The sequence below is a fragment of the Homo sapiens genome, chromosome 14 (assembly GCF_000001405.40).
Source record: "Homo sapiens chromosome 14, GRCh38.p14 Primary Assembly".
In the NCBI taxonomy this organism is placed as follows: Eukaryota; Metazoa; Chordata; class Mammalia; order Primates; family Hominidae; genus Homo; species Homo sapiens.
Window position 1 is genome coordinate 19,867,542 of NC_000014.9, and position 21,573 is coordinate 19,889,114.

The window sequence follows — 21,573 nt, forward strand, 5'->3', positions numbered from 1 at the left end:
ATACACATAGATATAGATATGACTATAAGAATTTGCATGGAGTTTCCTATACTGTTTTAAAACTATGAAGTCCACTCTAGGGAACGTAGGGACTAAAGATAAGTAAGATACATTCCTATTCTTACCCACAATGGGTTACAAACATATTAAATGGCAAATATTTTTACTTACCAAAAACCCTCTATTGCCTTCTGAATTTTGAGCTACAAAAAACCCACATTCATTAGCTTCTTGTCAGCAATAAACATTCTATTGCTACTTTAGTGTATAGGGTACTATACTAGGTGCTGCTGCTTTTATACTTGTCTTTTTTATTAGAGACTATTGCTAGAGATAGGGAGGAAATCTACTCTTTCTTAAAACATGTGAAAGTCTCAAAGGAAATTATATTCAGATAGATCTGAAAAAAATAAATATTAGACATTGTGGGTCCTTTCACACTAAAATGTTAAGTATACATTTTATAATGCTCTATAGTAAATGTTAGGTTGTGTAAGAAACAATTAATATGACCAGAACTTCATGACAGCTGAGGCTGATTACAGAAACAGTTCTACCATGAACTAATTGAGTTCTTGCAATAGCATCAATATGTTGACCAACTGAATGAGGGGGATAAATGCTGAACAGGTATTTTATTTTCCTATGAGGAAAATTAAGGAGTATGATCAGTCTTCCTAGATTTAAAGATATGGCTGCTTAGTTTCCTCATGGAATACTTGACATCTTTATTCCTAACGGTATAGATCACTGGATTCAAGAGGGGAGTGTATATGGTATAAAATACTGAGAGTACTTTGTCTATTGGGAAATTTGTGAAAGGCCACACATAAATGAAAGTGCATGGGCCAAAGAAAAGGGTCACAACAGTAAAGTGGGCACTGCACGTGGAGAGGGCTTTGGAGGATCCACCAGAGGAACGCTGCCGAACGGTGACCAGGATGATAGTGTAAGAGATCACCAAGAGGATGAAGCACACCAGGCAATCATGCCACTGGTTGAGATCATGAACACCCCCAGAATATATGTGTCAACACAAGCAAGTTTAATCACCAAAGGGAGGTCACAAAAGAAACTGTCTACTTCATTGGGTCCACAGAAGGGCAGATTCACTGTAAATGCTAACTGACTCAGAGCATGGAAGATGCCGACAATCCAGGAAAGTATCACAAGCCCAACACACATTCTTCGGCTCATGATTGTTAGGTAATGTAGAGGCTTACAGATAGCCACGTACCTATCAAAGGACATGGAGATCAGCAGTACAATCTCAGCACCCCCTAAGAGATGTAGGAAGAACATCTGGGTCATGCAGCCTTCAAAAGAGATGGCTTTGTGTTCTCTAAGGAAGTCTGCAATCATTTTGGGGGTGGCAAATGAGGCCAGGGACATGTCAATGAAGGAGAGATTGCCCAGCAGAAAGTACATAGGGGAATGAAGGTGTGGCTCTGATGCAATGGTGACCACAATAAGAAGGTTCCCCAGCACAGTGGCTGCATAGACTATGGAGAAAAACAGGAAGTAGAAAATCTGGAGTTCTAAAGAACTGGACAGACCCCGTAGTATGAATTCGGTTACCGCAGACTGATTGCTCCAGGCCATTTGCTCTGATTTCTGGAAGGACTCTAGCATTTCCAGTTGGGAGGAGAACTAGGAAAAAATATAGCAATCAAACTCAAAGTGGGATTTTTGCACAGACTAATTTAGTGGCAGCCTACCATCAGATAGTTCCCTATTGTCTCTTTTCCAGACTCACAGTGGCCAAAAATTTTTCCCAATGGCCTTCCTAGATATTTCAAATGATTCAATTACATATTATTTTTTATGACTTAGCAATTTGTTTTACAAGTAAAATACAAATATTCATAAAAGAAGTAAAAATTAATGGTTTCAAATATTTACTCCTCAGTTTGTGAAATACTTTTTAAATTTCACAGCTTGCTGACAGCAGCCTTTTGTAAGAAAAGGGAGTAAAAACCTTTTTCAAACATCATGAAGGGTGAAAGACGGAGGAGGAATATTTGAGGATCAAAGCTTATTATTAGTGGGAAGGATATGGGCACTGGTCTCTTGCAGTGGCTAGGAAAAAGGAATCAAACATGAGGGAAGGAGGATGGCTACAGAGAAACATCATCTGTTTCAATTTTCCAGTGGAGATTGTCTAGAATAAAAGTGAAATGGCTGGGCTCGGTGGCTCACACCTGTAATCCCAGCACTTTGGGAGGTCGAGGTGTGCAGATCACGAGGTCAGTAGTTCGAGACGAGCCTGACCAACATGGCGAAACCCTGTCTCTACTAAAAATACAAAAATTAGCTGGGCAGGGTGACATGCGCCTGTAATCCCAGCTACTCAGGAGGCTGAGGTAGGAGAATCGCTTGAACCCGGGAGGCAGAGGATGCAGTGAGCCAAGATCGTGCCACTGCACTCCAGCCTGGTGACAGAGTGAGACTCTGCCTCAAAAAAAAAAAAAAAAAAAAAAGTGAAATCACCTCTAATTATTTGTCCTTTATTTTAGTTATGCAGATATTATGAATGACACTTGATGTATGTCACCAATGCCATACATTTTTCAGAGGCTAATGAACATGTTCTGGTTAAAGCCTGAAGTACTCATACATTTCTAAGTACATTTTAAATAGAAAGACTGTTAAATACCATGCTGCCAGAAGCCAGGCAATTTTTAAATGCTAGAAATTATTGATTTCACAGAAGCTGTTTGAAACAAAAAACACTCTTCCTGTTTCCAGAGTTTACATGGAGCAACTGTTGAGACAAGTTTACATCAGACAGAAGAGAGTAATGAATTTATAAGTTATGTAATATAACGCACCTCAAAAGTTGTAACTTGGCTGATTAAGGAAATCTCTGTCTCACTGAGATCTGAGATTTACAAAGTGCACTGAAAGCCAATTGAAATGATGTGTACTCAAAATTCATAACAAAACTTTTTCATCTTTCTACTAATCCAAGCATTTGTTTTTCTTTTCTTCTCAAACCTCTGTTACAACTATATATTCTAAACAAATTGTTCTAAGACCAAACCCAATTTACTCATTCAACTACCTATTGTTCTTTCGCTTTCTATTAAAAATGCTGTGGCCTTTGAAAAACAAATAAACAAAAAACCTTCACATTGTTCTTCTAGCTTTACCCATCCCAGAAACTTTTAAATTTCTTTTGTACTCACCTACCTGATTTTTAAATAGAAGTCTCTAGCACAGCACTCATTTAAATTGGTGTACCAGAAATAACAGTGACCTGAGAGTCAGAAAATGGGAATTGAAATCTTGTCCTAGGAGTGTGGGATCAAGTAATTTACTGAGTCAACCGATGCTTCCAAGTCTTCATATGTAAAATAGGGGTGTTGATCTAGATAATTTTAAGATCCTTTCCACACATGTAATATAATAACCAACTCCTGAAAGCAGGGACAACTGCGTCACAGTGAAGTTAGGTGAATCCCTTGCCTAATTTCTGGGGAAAGGAGGCTCACAGTCCTTGAGACCTTTGTATTTATGACAGTTGTATTGATATGAAATAATTTTGTGAATTACATGGCAAGAAAAAGACCAGCTGCTGCTTGGGGAATAAACAAATGTTCAAGTTGCAGTGGGAGTTATTAAAACTTTCTAGTTGGTTTGGCCATATTTAAAGGTGAATTACAGAATGCATGATTGCTCGTAAATGTTTCATGTACAGGACATGGATGTGATTGGCTGGGAAAATATAAAGAATAACGCGTATCTTGGACCACAGCAAAGACAAGACAAATAGTATCTATTATTTGACTTATGAGACTACAAGTGTTATCTCCCAGTTCCTCCATTAACAAATGAGTATAAGGCCTGTGTATCCCCATTTGGAAAAAAACTGATACAGAAAATAATAAAATGAATGTTCGAGAATTTAAATTTTGTACTATTCACTTGAATCATTATGGAGTAATGGAAGAAAAAAGTGAAAAGTGAAAAAATTCTGGTTTATAAATTCTAACTATGTAAAGAATGTGAAGTAATCATCAAAATTTTAATATCTGCTAAAAATCAGAATAACAATCAATAAAATTTAAATGCCACCCATACTTAAATATTTCTCTATTAACAAGAAAGTTTTGACTATATTTCACAGAGCTTGTATTCATAAGATGAAAAGAAATAACTTGATGAAACTGCATTATATGCCTCTAGTGTAATATAAAGAACATTGAATCTCAGATTTGGAGGCCTGAGTTTACATCACAGTACAAGACTTTATTATATTATACTGAGTACATCACCACATTATCATAAATCTCAATCTCCTCATTTGCACTGAGAGATAAAAAAACAAAGCACTGGTATATCAGTACATAAAAAGCTATTAAATTAGACAATAAAAAGACCAAGAACCCTGCATAAAATGGGAAAAAAGCGCAAATAGCTATTTTCTATAGAAAAGATGCTCAAACTCTTTTTTATATGAACATATGTTGAAATTCATTGAGATACCACATATCAACTATCATATGGTAAATGTTTCTATCAGGCAGCAAAATTCTAGCAGCTTGAACACCTGCTCTAGATGACACTACAGTGAGGTAATGCCAGAAGGAATATAAAATAATAAAATCCCATGGAGGAACATTTAAATATATTAAATATACACATATATATTTAAATAGGTATATATATGTGTGTGTGTGTGTGTGTATATATATATAAATACACATATATATACCTATCTATATATATACACATATATATACCTATTTATATATATATACATATATATACCTATTTATATATATATACACATATATATACCTATTTATATATATATACACATATATATACCTATTTATATATATATACACATATATATACCTATTTATATATATATACACATATATATACCTATTTATATATATATACACATATATATACCTATTTATATATATATATACACATATATATACCTATTTATATATATATACACATATATATACCTATTTATATATATATATACACATATATATACCTATTTATATATATATACACATATATATACCTATTTATATATATATACACATATATATACCTATTTATATATATATACACATATATATACCTATTTATATATATATACACATATATATACCTATTTTTATATATATACACATATATATACCTATTTATATATATATATATATATATATATTTACCTCTAAGGAGAGGGAGATGATAGGGGACAATAGGATTGACATGTTGGAATGTCAGGGATAAAATCAAAACATCTCTGATTTTATCTACATTGTTAGTTTTGACTTAGGTTAAGAAATAGAGTTCAACTTAGAAAGCAGAGCTACCATGCACTGTAGGATAAGGCATTTACCATAGGAATTAGACCTTAAACAATTCTGGAAGGACTTAGGAAAGCAAAGACATGAAACAGGGAGCTGCAGAATCAGAGGCAGCAATAGCCAGTCAATCGAGAAACCAAGCCCATCTAGCCAATGAAGTAGAGGTCATGAAAGGAGCAAAATTTAGAAAATTTTGCTGGTAGAAAAATTTTTGTTCAGTTGCTGCTTCTGAGGATCTGCAGGCAGGCAGCCTGAGGCTTCTGTTGATCCTCCAATTCAGAAGTTGGGAAAAAGGTGGACGCAGAGTGAAGTGGCTGAGAACAAAACAAGCTAGAAGCTGTTGGCACCTCTGCATCTGTATAGCCACAAAGATCAGAGAGTAATGGCTGGTGCTTTGGGCTGCTTTTCAAATTCCAAACACATTTATTTTTAGACAACTCCAATACGGAAAGACGTGTAGAAAAGAATTCTGGGAACTGTAGTTCTCAGCTTAACCACTTTGACAATAGAAAGATGTAAGGTGCCACTCTCCGGTCTGTAGGAAAGACTCATGCACTTGCATTATTTACCTGGGAGCTCCGCTGGTACTGGAACTTTCAGAACGGATTTCCTAACATATCTTGTGCCTCACCTGGAGTGTATCAGATGGCTAGGGTCTGGCTGGTACTCCATATTTACATATAATATCTCATCATTCTGTATTCCTCCCGTGTGTGTGTGTGTGTGTGTGTGTGTGTGTGTGCGCGCGCGCGCGCGCGCACATGTGTGTCTATCTCTCAATGTTTCTTTGTATTTATTCTATTTATCCTAAGACCCTGATGAGTTAAAAAATAAAATATATAAACAGTGCTGGAGTCACGCATTGACTTTTAAAACTTCTGCTCATGTGTGGCATATGATACTTCTAGTCACATTACATTGAACAAAGTCATGTATCCAAGGTTCTGGTAGATAAAGTGAGGGTTATACTCCTTCCACAGCATGTGAAGGTCCCTGAAGGGATGAGCCATATACAAAAAGGTAATCAATTTTGATTTTCTAAAATTCAGTCGGCTGGGTATGGTGGCTCACTGTTCATCCCAGCACTTTGCGAGGTGGAGGTGGGCTGATCACTTGAGGTCAGGAGTTCGAGACCAGCCTGGCCAACACGGTGAAACCCCGCCTCTACTGAAAATATAATTAGCAGGGCATGGTGGCACATGCCTGTAATCTCAGCTACTCTGGAGGCTGAGACAGGAGAATCGCTTCAACCAGGTGGCGGAGGTTGCTGTGAGCCAAGATTGTACCATTGCACTCCTGGCTGGGTGACAAGAGTGAAACTCTGTCTGAAAAAAAAAAAAAATTCAGTCTACTACATAGACTGCACAGGAGAATAATCATATTATTAGTATTCAATAAATAAAAATATTCATAATGACAGTTACTTGGATGTCTCATTTAATTAATTACAATCACATTCACATTTCTGGTAACTTAGTCAAAATTATCTCCTTATATCCATTTCATTAAATGATCTGTATTAAATTTCTCCCTTCTCCAAACTATCTAAATAAATGCTTACATAATACTGCTTTCAAATAATCATAATTCTGCCCCTGACATTAAAATGACCCGTTATCTTTTATATCAAGTTAAATTTTTAGAAAGGCAGTCTTGCTCTTCTAAACTGCTAACTAAATATCCTGTTTCATGGCAAATAAGCTGCACTGTTTTCCTTCCCCGTGCATTTTTTTTCTTCTGCCAATTAATATTTTAGTTTTCATTCTAAGTCAAGTTCATGACATGTCTCCTGCAAGAACACTTGCTTGATTGATTCTGCACATTACCAGTTTTGTTTGTTTGTTTGTTTTTGTTTTTAACTAAAGTCTAGTTCATCCATGGTCTCTGAGAATTGACTGAACATGAGGTTTATTTGGTGGTATTTTTCACCAATTGTTTTATTTATAGGTGTTTAATATTTCCAAATAACTGTAAATTACTTGAAGCAGAGATGAATGTTTGGATTTTGTTCTCCGTTGCTTCTAATATAGCATTAGAGAACCAAGAGTGCTTATTAGAATTAGTTGATTTGATATTTCCTGCTGCTTTTTGAAATTAGGACTTTCCCAACTTCTAGTCCCTGACTCTCTCAGGTCCAGGTGAAAACAATCTTTGTAAATTCCCATAAGATTCTTGAAATATCTTTCCTTTGTCAACTCAATAATGCCATCTTTGTTGTTTAATAAATCCCATTGCAAGGTGATTTCTTGTTCAATTCCCATGTCCCTACAACATCCATTTTATCCACAGCTGATACACAACTAATGATTCAACTAGGTCATTTATTTATATTTTAAATTGCCTTCGATGCTCTGTCAGAAGCCTACTTAACACTGAATAATCTAAAGCCCTGGTTCTTCTATAGATCTGATAAGTAAAAGTGTTTTACAAATGAGTTCTACTGAAATATTTTAAATGTTTGCCCTTCCCACTCCCATTTCCTAATCCCTATTCCATGAAGCTTAGGTCAATACAACAGTTTACATATGTTAACATTTACAGAAGAAGAATTCAAACAGAGGTGAAATGAAAGAGACTGATCTTTGAGCACTTTCCCATGAAAATGTTGTTATATATCCTTTGTGATATAAAATTTTAAATCATAGAATTATAAATATTTATAAGGAACACAGTCATATTTTAATTAAAAAGAAAGGACCAAAAGAAGTTAAATGCCTTTCCTTTGTCTGTATGACTGTATTGTAATAAATTAGTCTCTCTGGATGAATATCAGCAAAACTAACTTTCTATGTATTTCTTTTGAGTTTCAAACAGGAAACTTTATCTGGGAATACTTTAACAGTTCATCTCTGGAAATTTACAAGAGCTCTACAACTGTCCATCGAAACTTCACTATAATGTGCTTAAGAGCCCTTATATGTGATATAATTTTTATATGTTTTCATCAGTAAGGATATCTTTATGGACAAATTCCAAATGACTAAACATGTATGTGTATGTGTGTTTCACACATTGTCAGCATAAAGTAAGTTCTTACTGTTATCGTTAGACTTACACAGATGAATAGATGGACAAATAGGTAGGTATGTCTGTTCAGAATGATATTATCTTGGTTGGATTGCCATTAGTATCAGAAAAGAAAGTGTTCTTTTCAATACCTATGATTTAAGGAACATTTTGCTATAAGCTCTAATATTTCATAATTTCCATTCAAAACAATATACCAAATGAGAAGGATGGAAAGAATAGTCAAGGTAAGTTTTATGAGAAGATAAAATTTCTGAAAGTAGATAATTGGAAATGAATCTTTTGCTTCTATTGAATCTGACTTTCCTTTTTTTTTTTTTTTTTTTTCGTGATACAGGCTTCTGCCTATGAATCAAGACAATGGATGTGGGCAATAAGTCTACCATGTCTGAATTTGTTTTGCTGGGGCTCTCTAATTCCTGGGAACTACAGATGTTTTTCTTTATGGTGTTTTCATTGCTTTATGTGGCAACAATGGTGGGTAACAGCCTCATAGTCATCACAGTTATAGTGGACCCTCACCTACACTCTCCTATGTATTTCCTGCTTACCAATCTTTCAATCATTGATATGTCTCTTGCTTCTTTCGCCACCCCAAAGATGATTACAGATTACCTAACAGGTCACAAAACCATCTCTTTTGATGGCTGCCTTACCCAGATATTCTTTCTCCACCTTTTCACTGGAACTGAGATCATCTTACTCATGGCCATGTCCTTTGATAGGTATATTGCAATATGCAAGCCCCTGCACTATGCTTCTGTCATTAGTCCCCAGGTGTGTGTTGCTCTCGTGGTGGCTTCCTGGATTATGGGAGTTATGCATTCAATGAGTCAGGTCATATTTGCCCTCACGTTACCATTCTGTGGTCCCTATGAGGTAGACAGCTTTTTCTGTGACCTTCCTGTGGTGTTCCAGTTGGCTTGTGTGGATACTTATGTTCTGGGCCTCTTTATGATCTCAACAAGTGGCATAATTGCGTTGTCCTGTTTTATTGTTTTATTTAATTCATATGTTATTGTCCTGGTTACTGTGAAGCATCATTCTTCCAGAGGATCATCTAAGGCCCTTTCTACTTGTACAGCTCATTTCATTGTTGTCTTCTTGTTCTTTGGGCCATGCATCTTCATCTACATGTGGCCACTAAGCAGCTTTCTCACAGACAAGATTCTGTCTGTGTTTTATACCATCTTTACTCCCACTCTGAACCCAATAATCTATACTTTGAGGAATCAAGAAGTAAAGATAGCCATGAGGAAACTGAAAAATAGGTTTCTAAATTTTAATAAGGCAATGCCTTCATAGTTTTTGTGACACAGAACATTAGACACAATGCTGTGTTAGGCTTTTCTTTCTAGAGGGTTCTTACCAAATTGTAATTGCCAAGAATTTGTGAGGGCTCAAGTTCAGTGCATTTTGAAACTATTCTCATGAATGTGAATGTGTTCAAAATACATTTGAAATTTCAGAAAAGCAAGTTAAAAGAAATAAAGACTATAAAAATGTCAGGAGTGACAGTTCCAGTTAGGACATTCAATATCAATAATCAATTTATTGGAAAAGAGGACCAAGGAATGAGGAGAAGAAATATAGATTAAAGCAGAACTAGGAGATAATGACAATTACCCACAGTGAGCAACTGAGTCACTTAGTGAGATGCTCCTAAAGTATGACAAGCTAGCAAGATTCCTATAATCCTTAGGAACTCCATACTGCTGTAGGATCTTAGCCTCTGACAGAGAAGCAATGATTTTCCACATACGTTCCCAAGCCACTCCTACTTAACATTTAAACCAATTTGTGATCTCTTCTATTAAAGAAAACTCTAGATATATTTTATTTCGAATGTTAATGACGTCCATAAAATTGCCGTAAGTGTAGCAATCTTTACCAACCACTTTTAGTTCATCATCAAAGCAATACAGTCATGATATTTCTTTCTGATAATGCGGAATGAGTAGGGAGGCTGGAGAATTCTGCAAATCAGAAAATATGAAATGAGTTGCAGATCAGTACACTTTGTTTTGTGCAGACACGATGGTTGCTTAGTTCCTAAGAAGTTAAAACTAGAATTGAGAGACACAGTTTATAACAGTTGAATTTATGGGGAGTCCATGCTTTCATTTTAAAGTGTTATATTGCTTTCCATTTTGGTTATTTTTTTCTTGAAATATTTGGATGTAAAAATAATGAATCTGCATTTAGTAATACATTGTCAATGTAATAAGTATGTTTTTGTACACAAATAGGTTTTATTACTGTTATAAATAAATCTGGTAGGTTCAATATTAGCTTTAATGTATACAAAGTATTACTACCACCTGCTGGTACTAACTGGAATTGCAAGTATTGAAAGAGGAAAAATAATTGTGTATACCCTACTTTGCAAATCATCTTTAAATGATGGCAAACATTCATGAGTTAACTCTTATTTAGAATTTTCTAAATGATATTGATAAAATATAGTGTCTTATATATGATCCAACATGTATCCACAAAGGGAAAGATATGTTGCAACCACAGTATTTGATAATATCAAGTTGTTATTTTCTGGTATGATTGAGTAAATGGAGAAAACAAATGAAATGCATTAATTATCATTTATGAAAGATAATTAAAACAGAAAATCCTTAGATGTTCATATTAAACCAAGTTATAAAAGGAATTTATTTTTTCTTCATCAGTTTGTGTTTTATTTCTTCATTAATGTACTAAGCAAATAAGGAAAAAACTTACAGCTTGAAAGTCTGTGATACTGTGTTTAAAGCCTGAGCAGTTTTGAAATTATTAGATAATAACGTCTACAGTATTAACATAAAATAAAACATGCTTCTGTAAGCACAAGATTAGCATAATTCTATTTTAAATAGGGATACAAATAGGCCAATTTAGGTTTTGAGTGTGAACTTTCTCTTGGTTGCAGTTATATGTACAAATATGTTCATATTCAAGGACTTCGTTTATGTAGAATGTTTTAGCTGGTGCTTAAAAATGCTAGAAATAATTCTTTTACTTGACATATTTCTTTGTCCAGGGAATATTTTCAAAACTGTGCTGCTTTTTGCAATATAAAACTGTGGAATCTTTTGGAAGAGACGCTATTGATTTTCTGTGCTTTTGTGGAGAATTCTAAAACTCAAGAACATTTGCCAAAATACCCTCAAAGGTGTAGCTGATCAGCAGACAACTCTATAAGGCAAGTCAATAATGAGATTAAGTAGTTGGATTGATAGTAAAATTCTGTGGCTGATAATAAAAAGGATTACAGAAAGCCTTTGGAGGGCTTACATATATAAATGGAACTATCACATTTCTCGGTGGCTTAGTGTGAGGAGTCAATATTCATGGTACCTCTGCATGTTATATAAACACTTAAAAATCTTAGTTAGGACTTTAGGACTCATGGTGGTTGGTTTTATCGATATATCTCTTAGACAAGATGCTGACACTCTTTCACCAAGGATAACTGCAGTGACATGGCCATGGACTCGTTAAGCAATAGTAAGGATGGTGCCAGCTGCCACCAGAGTTTCCAGAGACAGAGATAATGTTCTGCAGAGAATACAAGATAAGCAGGCAAGTATAATTTTAAGTGATCTGCACTATCTGCAATAACACAACTGAGGGAGTTCTGGAGCATTTATAAGAAGAGTGTGTTGACAAGCAACTTCATCTTCCTCTACGTGTTTAGGAAGCTGTGAAGCTTGACAACAATTGAATGCAGATGGAAAAACTGTTAAAAATCAGGTATAGATAAAAACAGATAAAGTGTAAATTTTAATATGTGAAGGAACTGGATATATGTAATAGCAATAAAAACTACAAATTATGTTTGTTTCTAAAAATGCTTAAGAAAACTTTTAGAATACTATATGGTATAATGATGGTGGATTTACCATAAAGCTTGTAAAGCTTAGGTTTTATAACTCCTCCTTTGCATGGATTTCCTCGAAGGCCCTAGAATGGAAACTAACAACCTTTTATTAGTTATTTCGATTTTTTTTTCCTGAAACAGGTGTCCTCAAACTGTATAAGCTTTAAGCCTAGCTTGTCCAACCCATGACCTGCAGGTTGCATGCGGCTCAGGAGATGGCTTTAAATTCAGCCCAACACAAATTCATAAGCTTTCTTGAAACATTATAAGATTTTCTTGTGATTTTTTTGTAAAGCTCATCAGCTATCTTTAGTATCAGTGTATTTTATGTGTGGCCCAACACAATTCTTCTTCCAATGTGGCCCAGAGAAGCCAAAACTTTGGACACCCCTGCATTAAAAGGCTCTGCAGAATCTGAAGTCTAATGTGTAGTTTTAAAAGTCTTAGACTCTGGTATCTTTTTTTTTTTTAAACAGTGTTTAATACTACTTCTACTACTAGTGGTGTAAACTTAAGCTAAGTACTTAATACCTCTTAGCCTCAGTTTCTACATATGTTAAAGGAGATAATAGTGGTCTCTACACCACAGAGTTATTTGAGGCATAAAAGAAGCAAATAATATGAAGCATATGGTTGTCAATAAATGTTAGTCATTGTATCATTCTGGGTGATAACCTCTGGATATCTTTGTTTATGGGACTTGATAGTCTCTTGAGCTAACACTTGACTTGTTTAATTTAAAAGGTAAATTTTCATTTATATGTTTTAAATATTCATGTCTGTATATGTGTGTCAGTATTAATTTGAAAAATTAAAAGTAACTTCCACTAGAAAATTACACTGGTTCTTACATTAATTAAAGCTTCTGGAAACTTGTTTTTCTGTCTGTTCACAACTGTCATTAATCAAGAGAAGTATCAAGTTGTTGCTTAATCATTATGCTATTGCTTCTTTACAATGAATAAATATTAAATTGGTTTATTGATTTTAGGATGAATTCACATTACAATTGTTGTCAGAATAAGAATGATGTTTGACTCATATTATTAAGGTGAAGAGATAGGCAGATGGATAGATTAGTAGATAGATGAAGTTTTGTATTATATGAGCTGTCTTATGTGAAGTATTTTTCTGCATTGATAAGGGTTTAGGATAATGTGATCACTGGATTATGCTGCTATATAGAAGTTCTTGGTAAAATGCTGTTATTTGTGCATATCCAGACTCCTTATGAAAGTATTTTCAAATTTAAAAAACTACCAGTGAATCTATTCTCTACATGTGAGTTTTTAAACAACTCAGTTATAGCAAAATTTGTTGAGAGAGTTGGAGTAATCCTCCTATTTCCCTATTCTTTCCCTGATATTATTTTGCATGATTTTTGGATGTATATGTCAATTGAAAAACGGGGAGAAGAAAACAGCCAGGGAAATCTAATTCATGTGAACTTCTTGCATGTACTCTCAGATGCCAATGAAATCCGCTAAGCAACTTGATAGTTTTTTGGTTTATAAGTTTCTGTTGTGCTTTGTTGTTTGGAATTATTTTTAATGCTCTTGGTTACACCATGAGGTAAATATGCACAAATTATTCTGGAGCGTGTAGGACCAACACTCAAATGAGACTGGAAATGTGACTGGGATCATTGATTCATGTATTCTGTCTCTATTGTTGCTAATATAACTCAATTGACATGTTATTTTTTCTCTTTGATTTTTGTAAAACAAACAAATAAATTCCAATATCTAGTATGCACTAAAATACTATAGTTTCATTTTTATTTTTTACTCTGATAATTTACACTGCCAATATAAGGAGATGAATACCTATTTTTTAAATTAAAAAATGTTCTCGGGCTGGAGGCTCCAGGTTTTTTTCCCCCATTAGCCTTTTTATGACTACTAAATGCAAGACCACTGTTAATTCGCCTTTTTTCTTTGTGTTTTAACTGTACTAGGAATCTGAAGCCATCAACAAAAGCCAGATTTTTCTCCCTTTGCTCACTTGCCACCTGTTAAAGAAAATTTAAAGGAGAGATTTTTTTTTTTAGTTTGAGACTAGAAATAGCAATTTAATTAGTAATTTGTTTTTATATAATAATATATTTATATCAATTTTTTCTTCTTGTTTGAGTGTACTTATATTGGTTGTCCTACAGTTAAGAAAACGGAAACCATTGGGTAAATTAAGCAGATTTAATACAATGTATTAAATGCTTGTGAATAATTCAAAGACTTACAGGAACATGCATTGGAGGCTGCAACTGGAGCTATTGTGTTCCAGAGCACATTACCCCAGTAATGTGATGTAAGGGCAAAAGGCAAAAAGCCTTGGTGTCATTGCCACTCCTTCATCACCCTCAGCACTCTTGAAGGTGGTGAATAGTCACTGGACACAGGTATGGCTGCCACAGTTGCTTTCCCTCACATCTCATCATCATCTTGCTCACCAGCGGCAATTATATCAGTAGATCCCTCTGCCTCACTTGTGCTTTCTAAAGCTCATTTGGTGCATCTAATTGGTGGAATCTATTTTGCACAGAGAAACTTGGCTTCAAAAATCAATTTGTAGATTTCAAGATTCTTATGCAACAGAAAACATGCTAATAGAGGGTGGATTGGAGGGAGACTCCGTCAATCAATCAATATCCATTACTTTAATTTTTTTATTATAACCTTTTTATTGCAGTGTAAAAGCAAGGTAAAGAAAAATACACAAACATGTTTAGCTTAATGAAATATTACAAGGCAAACACCATTATAATCACATTTCAAGTCACAAAATAGAACTTCGCCAGCCACCCCTGAAGTCCTCAAGTTTGTTCATCTCGATGACAACTCTCTCCTCCAAAATTAACCATTACCCTGACTTAATAAATTATTTGCATTTCTTTTCAGTTTCATGAATACATATATACTCAAATATACATCCATACACACTCAAACTTGGCCTCACCAACTTTGTTTCCTTTTCTTGTAGCCTACAAGTCTCACTATCACTATCTCTTCAATTTCTGTATAATTTATCTTTCTTTTTCTTTTTTTTTTCTTTTTTTTTTTTTTTTGAGACGGAGTCTTGCTCTGTCGCCCAGGCTGGAGTGCAGTAGCGTGATCTCCGCTCATTGCAAACTCTGCCTTCCGGATTCACGCCATTCTCCTGCCTCAGCCTCCTGAGTAGCTGGGACTACAGGCGCCCGCCACCACGCCCAGCTAATTTTTTGTATTTTTAGTAGAGAAGGGGTTATAATTTATCTTTTGAAAAACCTGAGTTATTTACCATCTAGGGTCTCCCAGAGTCTGAAATATGCTGATTGCATGCTCATGGTACAGTTCAACATGGACTTCTGTCACTGCATTTTCTGCAAATTGCCTATCCAGCAGCTTAATCATATTTAGTTTGATACTTTTTGCAAGACAAATGACAGATGATGTTATATTTTTTCATCCAAAAGATCTTGATGTCTTGCTTTATCTCTTTGGGAATGATAGTGCTGTTGTTGCTGTAGTAGTTGATATCTCTAACCATTTTTGTTGGCTGAAGCTTATTCTCTACTATATTCCTCAGGAAGTCTTCTTGAAGACCCTATTCTCTGAATTCTGGCGTGTTGGCAAGTTTCTTTGAAACATTTATGTACTGTAATTTCATTGGCTATTCCTTTATTTTCTTGATTATCTTAAATTGAAATAATGACTCTCTTTGTAAGCACTTTGTCTGGAGTCTGCAAAGCCTGTATTTTTCTTCACTCACCCTAGCATACCATATAATTAGAAGTTTGGAACTGATCTTTTAATTTTTGGAGGGAGGTATTAATAATCCTTCTGATATTTATATTAGTAGTTAAATAATTAAATAGTAGTTAAAGTAATTAAATAGGACTCTATTGCACTCAAGAGATTTTAAAACGTTTAAATTTCTAAATTTCCTTTAAGTATATTAAAATGTACCTAAATAAAATTGTTCTTCAAGAGTAACATGTAATTGAATCATCAACATCTTTATATAACTTTTCCAATTTTTTAAAGAAAGATACCTCTCTTGCAGCTCAATTGCTTTTTAAATAAAATAAATTTGAATCCCTGTTTGTACCTGGAGACCGTTTTGATCTGCCCTCCTCACCTCACATTTCACACATGGAGAAAAAAAGTCTGCACTTATAAAGCAATTATGCTACAAAACATGAAATGACTTCTTATCCTAAAGGAAAAGAACAAATTATGAATATATTGTAAAGTAGCTCAAATAAGATTGAGGCTGGTCTTTCTGTGTGTCTGTTTCACTTAAAACTCATGTAACATTTACAAAAACACATTAACATGTAGGCCATAACGTCTTGATAAATACCAGAAAGTCGGTAATTACGGAAGACATTATCTAATCACAAAGCAATGAAAATAATGAAATGATAAATAGTCCTTCCTTACCCACCCACTGCACCCCAAAAATAAACCCTATACCTTTGGAAATTTTAAAAAAATGCTTTGCAAGTAAGTCCATCAGTCAAAAAGATAATTCGACAAAATATGTCACTCTTGTAATCCCAGTACTTTGGGAGGCCGAGGCGGGCAGATCACGAGGTCAGGAGATCGAGATCATCCTAGCCAACAAGGTAAAACCCTGTTTCTACCAAAAATACAAAAATTAGCTGGGCATGGTGGCGCGTACCTGTAATCCCAGCTACTCAGGAGGCTGAGGCAGGAGAATCGCTTGAACCAGGGAGTCGGAGGTTGCAGTGAGCCGAGATCATGCCACTGCACTCCAGCCTGGCAGCAGAGCGAGACTCTGTTTCAAAAAAATATATATATATGGTGCAGTGCATATTGCTCAGGTGATAGGTGCACCAGGCTCTCACAAATCTCTACTGAAGAACTTACTCATGTAACAAAATACCACCTGTGCCCCAATAACTTATGGAAAAATAAAATTTAAAAATAACATTTCGAACTGAGTAATACAAATAGACTTAATATCAACACTTGTGAAGCAAATGTCTATTCATAAATGTGCAAGTTAAAACATAAGAGAAAAAACAGTAAGCTTAGTGTTCTATATACGAAATTAGAAAAAATTACTAAACAGGAATAAGGGAAGAGAAGGAGAAAAATCATAAACATAAAGCAGAATATAATGACATTTTCTCCAGCTGTCTTTATGGGCGTAGCTTAAGCTTAATGTCAAAACCCTGTGAAGATGCTAGAATAAGGAGAGTTTTTAGACAATTTTGTTTTTGAATGTAGTACACGTATCTGTTAGGATTTGATTAGGAAAGCTGAACCACTAAGGGTGACACGTAATAAAGAATTGATTATACGGATTAGACATTACACAATAATAAGAATCAGTGGAGAACTCTAGGCAAAGCTGTTGCTTCTGAAGCTGGTGGTGTACCTGAAGTTGCTTATAGGTTAGCAAGGTAGTGGCTGAAAGAAAAACTAGATATGAAATCTGAAGTTTATCTAGTTGATATTTTCTAGTGAACAAGTCTAATTTCTTTCTTGGTTTTTAACTGTAATTTTTTGAGTTATTTTGTTTTGTGGCAGCTCCAGGGATCACAACCTGCATGCTGACTTATCACAATTTACTTCATATTAATACTAATTTAGTCCCAGTAAAATATAGAAACTTTGTTTCAGTATACCTTCATTTCCTCCCACTTCTTTGTGCTGGTATTGTCACACACATTACATCTCATATTTATAAGTAGAAAATAAAGCTTTATAATTATTTTATACAATTGATTTTCAAATCAGGTTGTAGAAAAAAAGAAAAAAGCCCATTTATATAGGATTTAATATTTACCTACATAGTTCGCTTTACTTGTGCACTTTAATTCTTTATATTGAATGAGGTTACTCCCTGGTGTCTTTTTATTTCAGCTTGAAGAATTTCCTTTCATATTCCTTGTAGAGAAGATCTAGTAATTGCTTATCATTCTCTTTGTTTGAATCCAGGACTATCTTTATTTCACCTTTATTTTTGAAGGATTTTTTTCTTTGTTGCTATTTTTCTTTCAGTAATTTCAATATGCTATCTTACTGTTTTTCAACCTCCATTGTCTTTTCCAGTGAAAAGTCACTTGTTAATTTTAATGAGGTTTCCTTATCCTATGTGTTGGCTTTCTCTTACTGACTTCAGAATTTTCTCTCTGTCTTCCAACAGTTTGAGTATGATAGTCTATAATAGGTATGGATCTTTTTGTGTTTATCTTCTTTAAAGTTTGTTAAGGTTTTCGGATCTGAAAATTAAGGTTCATCAATTTTGGGATGTCTTCAGGTATGTTTTTCAGGTATCACATGTTTTTCTGCACCTTTCTCTTTGGTCCTTCTGGGACTTCCATTTTGGTCATTTTGCTATAATTTTATTGTGTCCTGCAAGTCTGTGAAGCTCTGTTCATTATTCTTCATACTTTTTTTCTTGTTTTTTTCAGATTTCATAATTTCTATTGATCTATCTTCAGGTTTGCTGATTCTTTCTTATGGCACCTAAAATTTGGTATCAAATCCCTCTAGTGAATTTTCATTTTACATATTTTATTTTTTCTCTTTAGAATTTCTATTGTTTCTTATTTATAATTTATATTTCTTTATTTTCATTCTCTTTTTGGTGAATATTGTTATTATTCTTTCCTTTTAATTATTGTTTTCTGATCCAGTCATGTCTTTCTTCTTTTTATTTTTTTTTCCAATTTTTAAAATATTTTTATTATAGATTCAGGGGGTACATGTGCTTGTTTGTTACATAGGTATTACATGTGTAATGGTGGGGTTTGTGCTTCTAGTGTACCCATTACCCATATATTGGAAATTTTCAAACCTACCCCCTGCATGCCCCCATTTGGAATTCTGAGAGTCTATTTTCCCCATCTTTATGTCCATGTGTACCCTTTCTTTAGTCCCAACTTATAAGTGAGAACATGCAATATTATTTTATGCTTCTGTGTTAGTTTACTTAGGATAATGGCCTCCAGCTTCATCCATGTTACCGCAAATGACATTTTATTCTTTTTTTATGGCTATGTAGTAATCCATGGTGTATATATATCACATTTTCTTTATCCAGTCAGCTGTTGGTAGACACTTAGTTTGGTTCTGTGACTTTGTTGTTGTAAACAGTGCTTCCATAAATATATGAATGCAAATATATTTTTGATATAATGATTTATTTTCTTTTGGGTAGACAGCTGGTAGCTGGATTGCAGGGTTGAATGGTAGTTCTACTTTCATTTCTTTGAGATATCTCCATATTGTATTCCACAGAGATTGAAATTACATTCACACCAACAGTGTATGAGCATTCCCTTTTCTCTGCATCCACACCAACATCTGTTTTATGACTTTTAATGAAAGCCATTCTGACTAGTGTAAGATGGTATCTCTTGTGGCTTTAATTTGCATTTCTCTGATAATTGGTGTTGGGCATTTTTTCATGTGTTTGTTGGCTACTTGTGTTTCTTCTTTTGAGAATTGTTTATTCCTGTCTTTTGCCCAGTTTTTGATAAGGTTGTTTGCTTTTTTCTTGTTGAGGTGCTTGAGTTCCTGGTAGATTCTAGATATAAATCTCTGGTTAGAGGCATAATTTGTAAATATATTTTTCCCATTCTGTGGGTTGTCTGTTTATTCTGTTGATTATTTCTTTTGCTGTGCAGAAGCTTTTTAGTTTGTTTAAGTCCCATTTGCCTATTTTTGTCTTTATTGCAATTGCTTTTGGGTCTTCATCACAAACTCTTTGCTTAGGCCAATATTAAAAAGAGTTTTTCTAGGTTTTCTTCTAATATTTGTATAGTTTCAGGTCTTACATGTAGGTCTTTAATCCGTCTTGGGGTAATTTTTGTATATGGTGGGAGGTAGGGGTCTAGTTTTGTTCTTTCATATATGGCTAGCCAGTTTTCCAAGCACCATTTATTGAATATTTATTGATTAGAGTGTCCTTTCTCCATTGCTTGTCTTTGTTGACTTTACTAAAGAACAGCTGGTTACAGGTACGTGGCTTTGTTTTTGGGTTCTGTATTCTGTTCTATTGTCTATCTTTGTATCAGTACCACGCTTCTTTAGTTATTATATCCTCGTAGTATAATTTGAAGTCAGACAATGTAATACCTCCAAATTAGAACTTTTTGCTTAGGATTGCTTTGGCTCTTTGGGATTTTTTGTTTTTGTTTTTGTTTTTGTTTTTGGGTCCATATGAACTTTAGGACTTTTTTTTTCTAAATCTGTGAAAAATGACATTGGTAGTTTGATAGGAATTGCATTGAATATGTAGATTGCTTTGGTTGGATAATGAGGTCATTTTAATGATAGTTATTCTTCTAATTCATGAGCATGGAAAGTTTTTCCATTTTTTGTGGGTCATCTTCAATTTCTTTCATCAGTGTTTTGTAGTTCTCCTTGTAAAGATATTTCACCACCTTGATTAAGTGTATTTCTAGGTATTTTATTTTTGTGTGTGGCTATTGTAAATGTAATTGAGTTATTAATTTGGTTCTCAGCTTGAAGATTATTGGTGTATAGAAATGGTACTAGTTTTTGTACATTGATTTTGTATCCTGAGACTCTTCTGAAGTTGCTTATCAAGTCTAGGAATCTTCTAGAGGAGTCTTTAGGGTTTTCTAAGTATACAATCATGTTGTCAGCAAACAGAGACAATTTAACTTCCTCTTTTCCAATTTGAATGCCTTTATTTCTTTTTCTTCCCTGATAGCTCTGGAGAGGACTGCCAGTGCTATGTTGAATAAGAGTGTATGTTTATATGCATTAATTCCTTTCTTCTAGGTTTCTAGTTTGTGTGCATAGAGGTGTTCATAGTAGTCTCTTATTTTTTGTATTTCTTTGGTGTCAGTTGTAATGTCATTTTTATCATTTCTGATTGTACTTATTTGAATTTTCTCTTTTTTTCTTAGTCTAGCTAGTGGTCTGTCAATTTTGTTTATTCTTTCAAAGAAACAATTTTTTGTTGCATTGATTACACTGTGTTTTTTTGTCTCAATTTCACTTATTTCTGCTTGGATTTCAGGTATGTATTTTATTCTACTAACTTTGGGTTTGGTTTTTTATTGTTTTTTCTAGTTCCTTCAGGTGCAACATTATATTGTGAACTTTAGATATTTCCATCTTTTTGATGTAAGCATTTAACACTGTAAACTTTCCTTCTAGCACTGCCTTTGTTGTATCCCAGAGACTTTAGTATGTTGTGTTTCTATTTCATTTATTTTAAAGAATTTTTACAATTTCTGTCCTGATTTCGTTTTTTACCCAAAAGTTGTTCAGGAGCAAGTTTTTAGTTTCCATGTACTGGTGTAGTTTTGAGAGTATTTTTGGTATTAATTTCTAATTTTATTCC

At 34.2% G+C, this 21,573-nt stretch overlaps 1 protein-coding gene and 1 pseudogene across 2 annotated transcripts; one reads left to right on the plus strand and one right to left on the minus strand.

The window, feature by feature from the left end:
* Positions 1-655: 655 nt before the first annotated feature.
* Positions 656-1,632, minus strand: OR4K3 (olfactory receptor family 4 subfamily K member 3 (gene/pseudogene); annotated as a pseudogene). The gene has a single exon (NR_145507.2). The product of NR_145507.2 is annotated as an olfactory receptor family 4 subfamily K member 3 (gene/pseudogene), transcript variant 1, non-coding (transcript).
* Positions 1,633-7,600: 5,968 nt separating this feature from the next.
* On the plus strand, positions 7,601-16,391 carry OR4K2 (olfactory receptor family 4 subfamily K member 2). The gene is made up of 2 exons (NM_001005501.2): positions 7,601-8,593; positions 8,704-16,391. The coding sequence occupies exon 2, from the start codon at positions 8,727-8,729 to the stop codon at positions 9,669-9,671; it is 945 nt and encodes a 314-aa protein (NP_001005501.1). The 5' UTR covers positions 7,601-8,593; positions 8,704-8,726; the 3' UTR covers positions 9,672-16,391.
* The last annotated feature ends 5,182 nt before the right edge of the window (positions 16,392-21,573 follow it).

Excerpts from the sequence above, each read along its gene's own strand:
- OR4K2 (NM_001005501.2), top strand. The coding sequence starts at position 8,727 with ATGGATGTGGGCAATAAGTCTACCATGTCTGAATTTGTTTTGCTGGGG.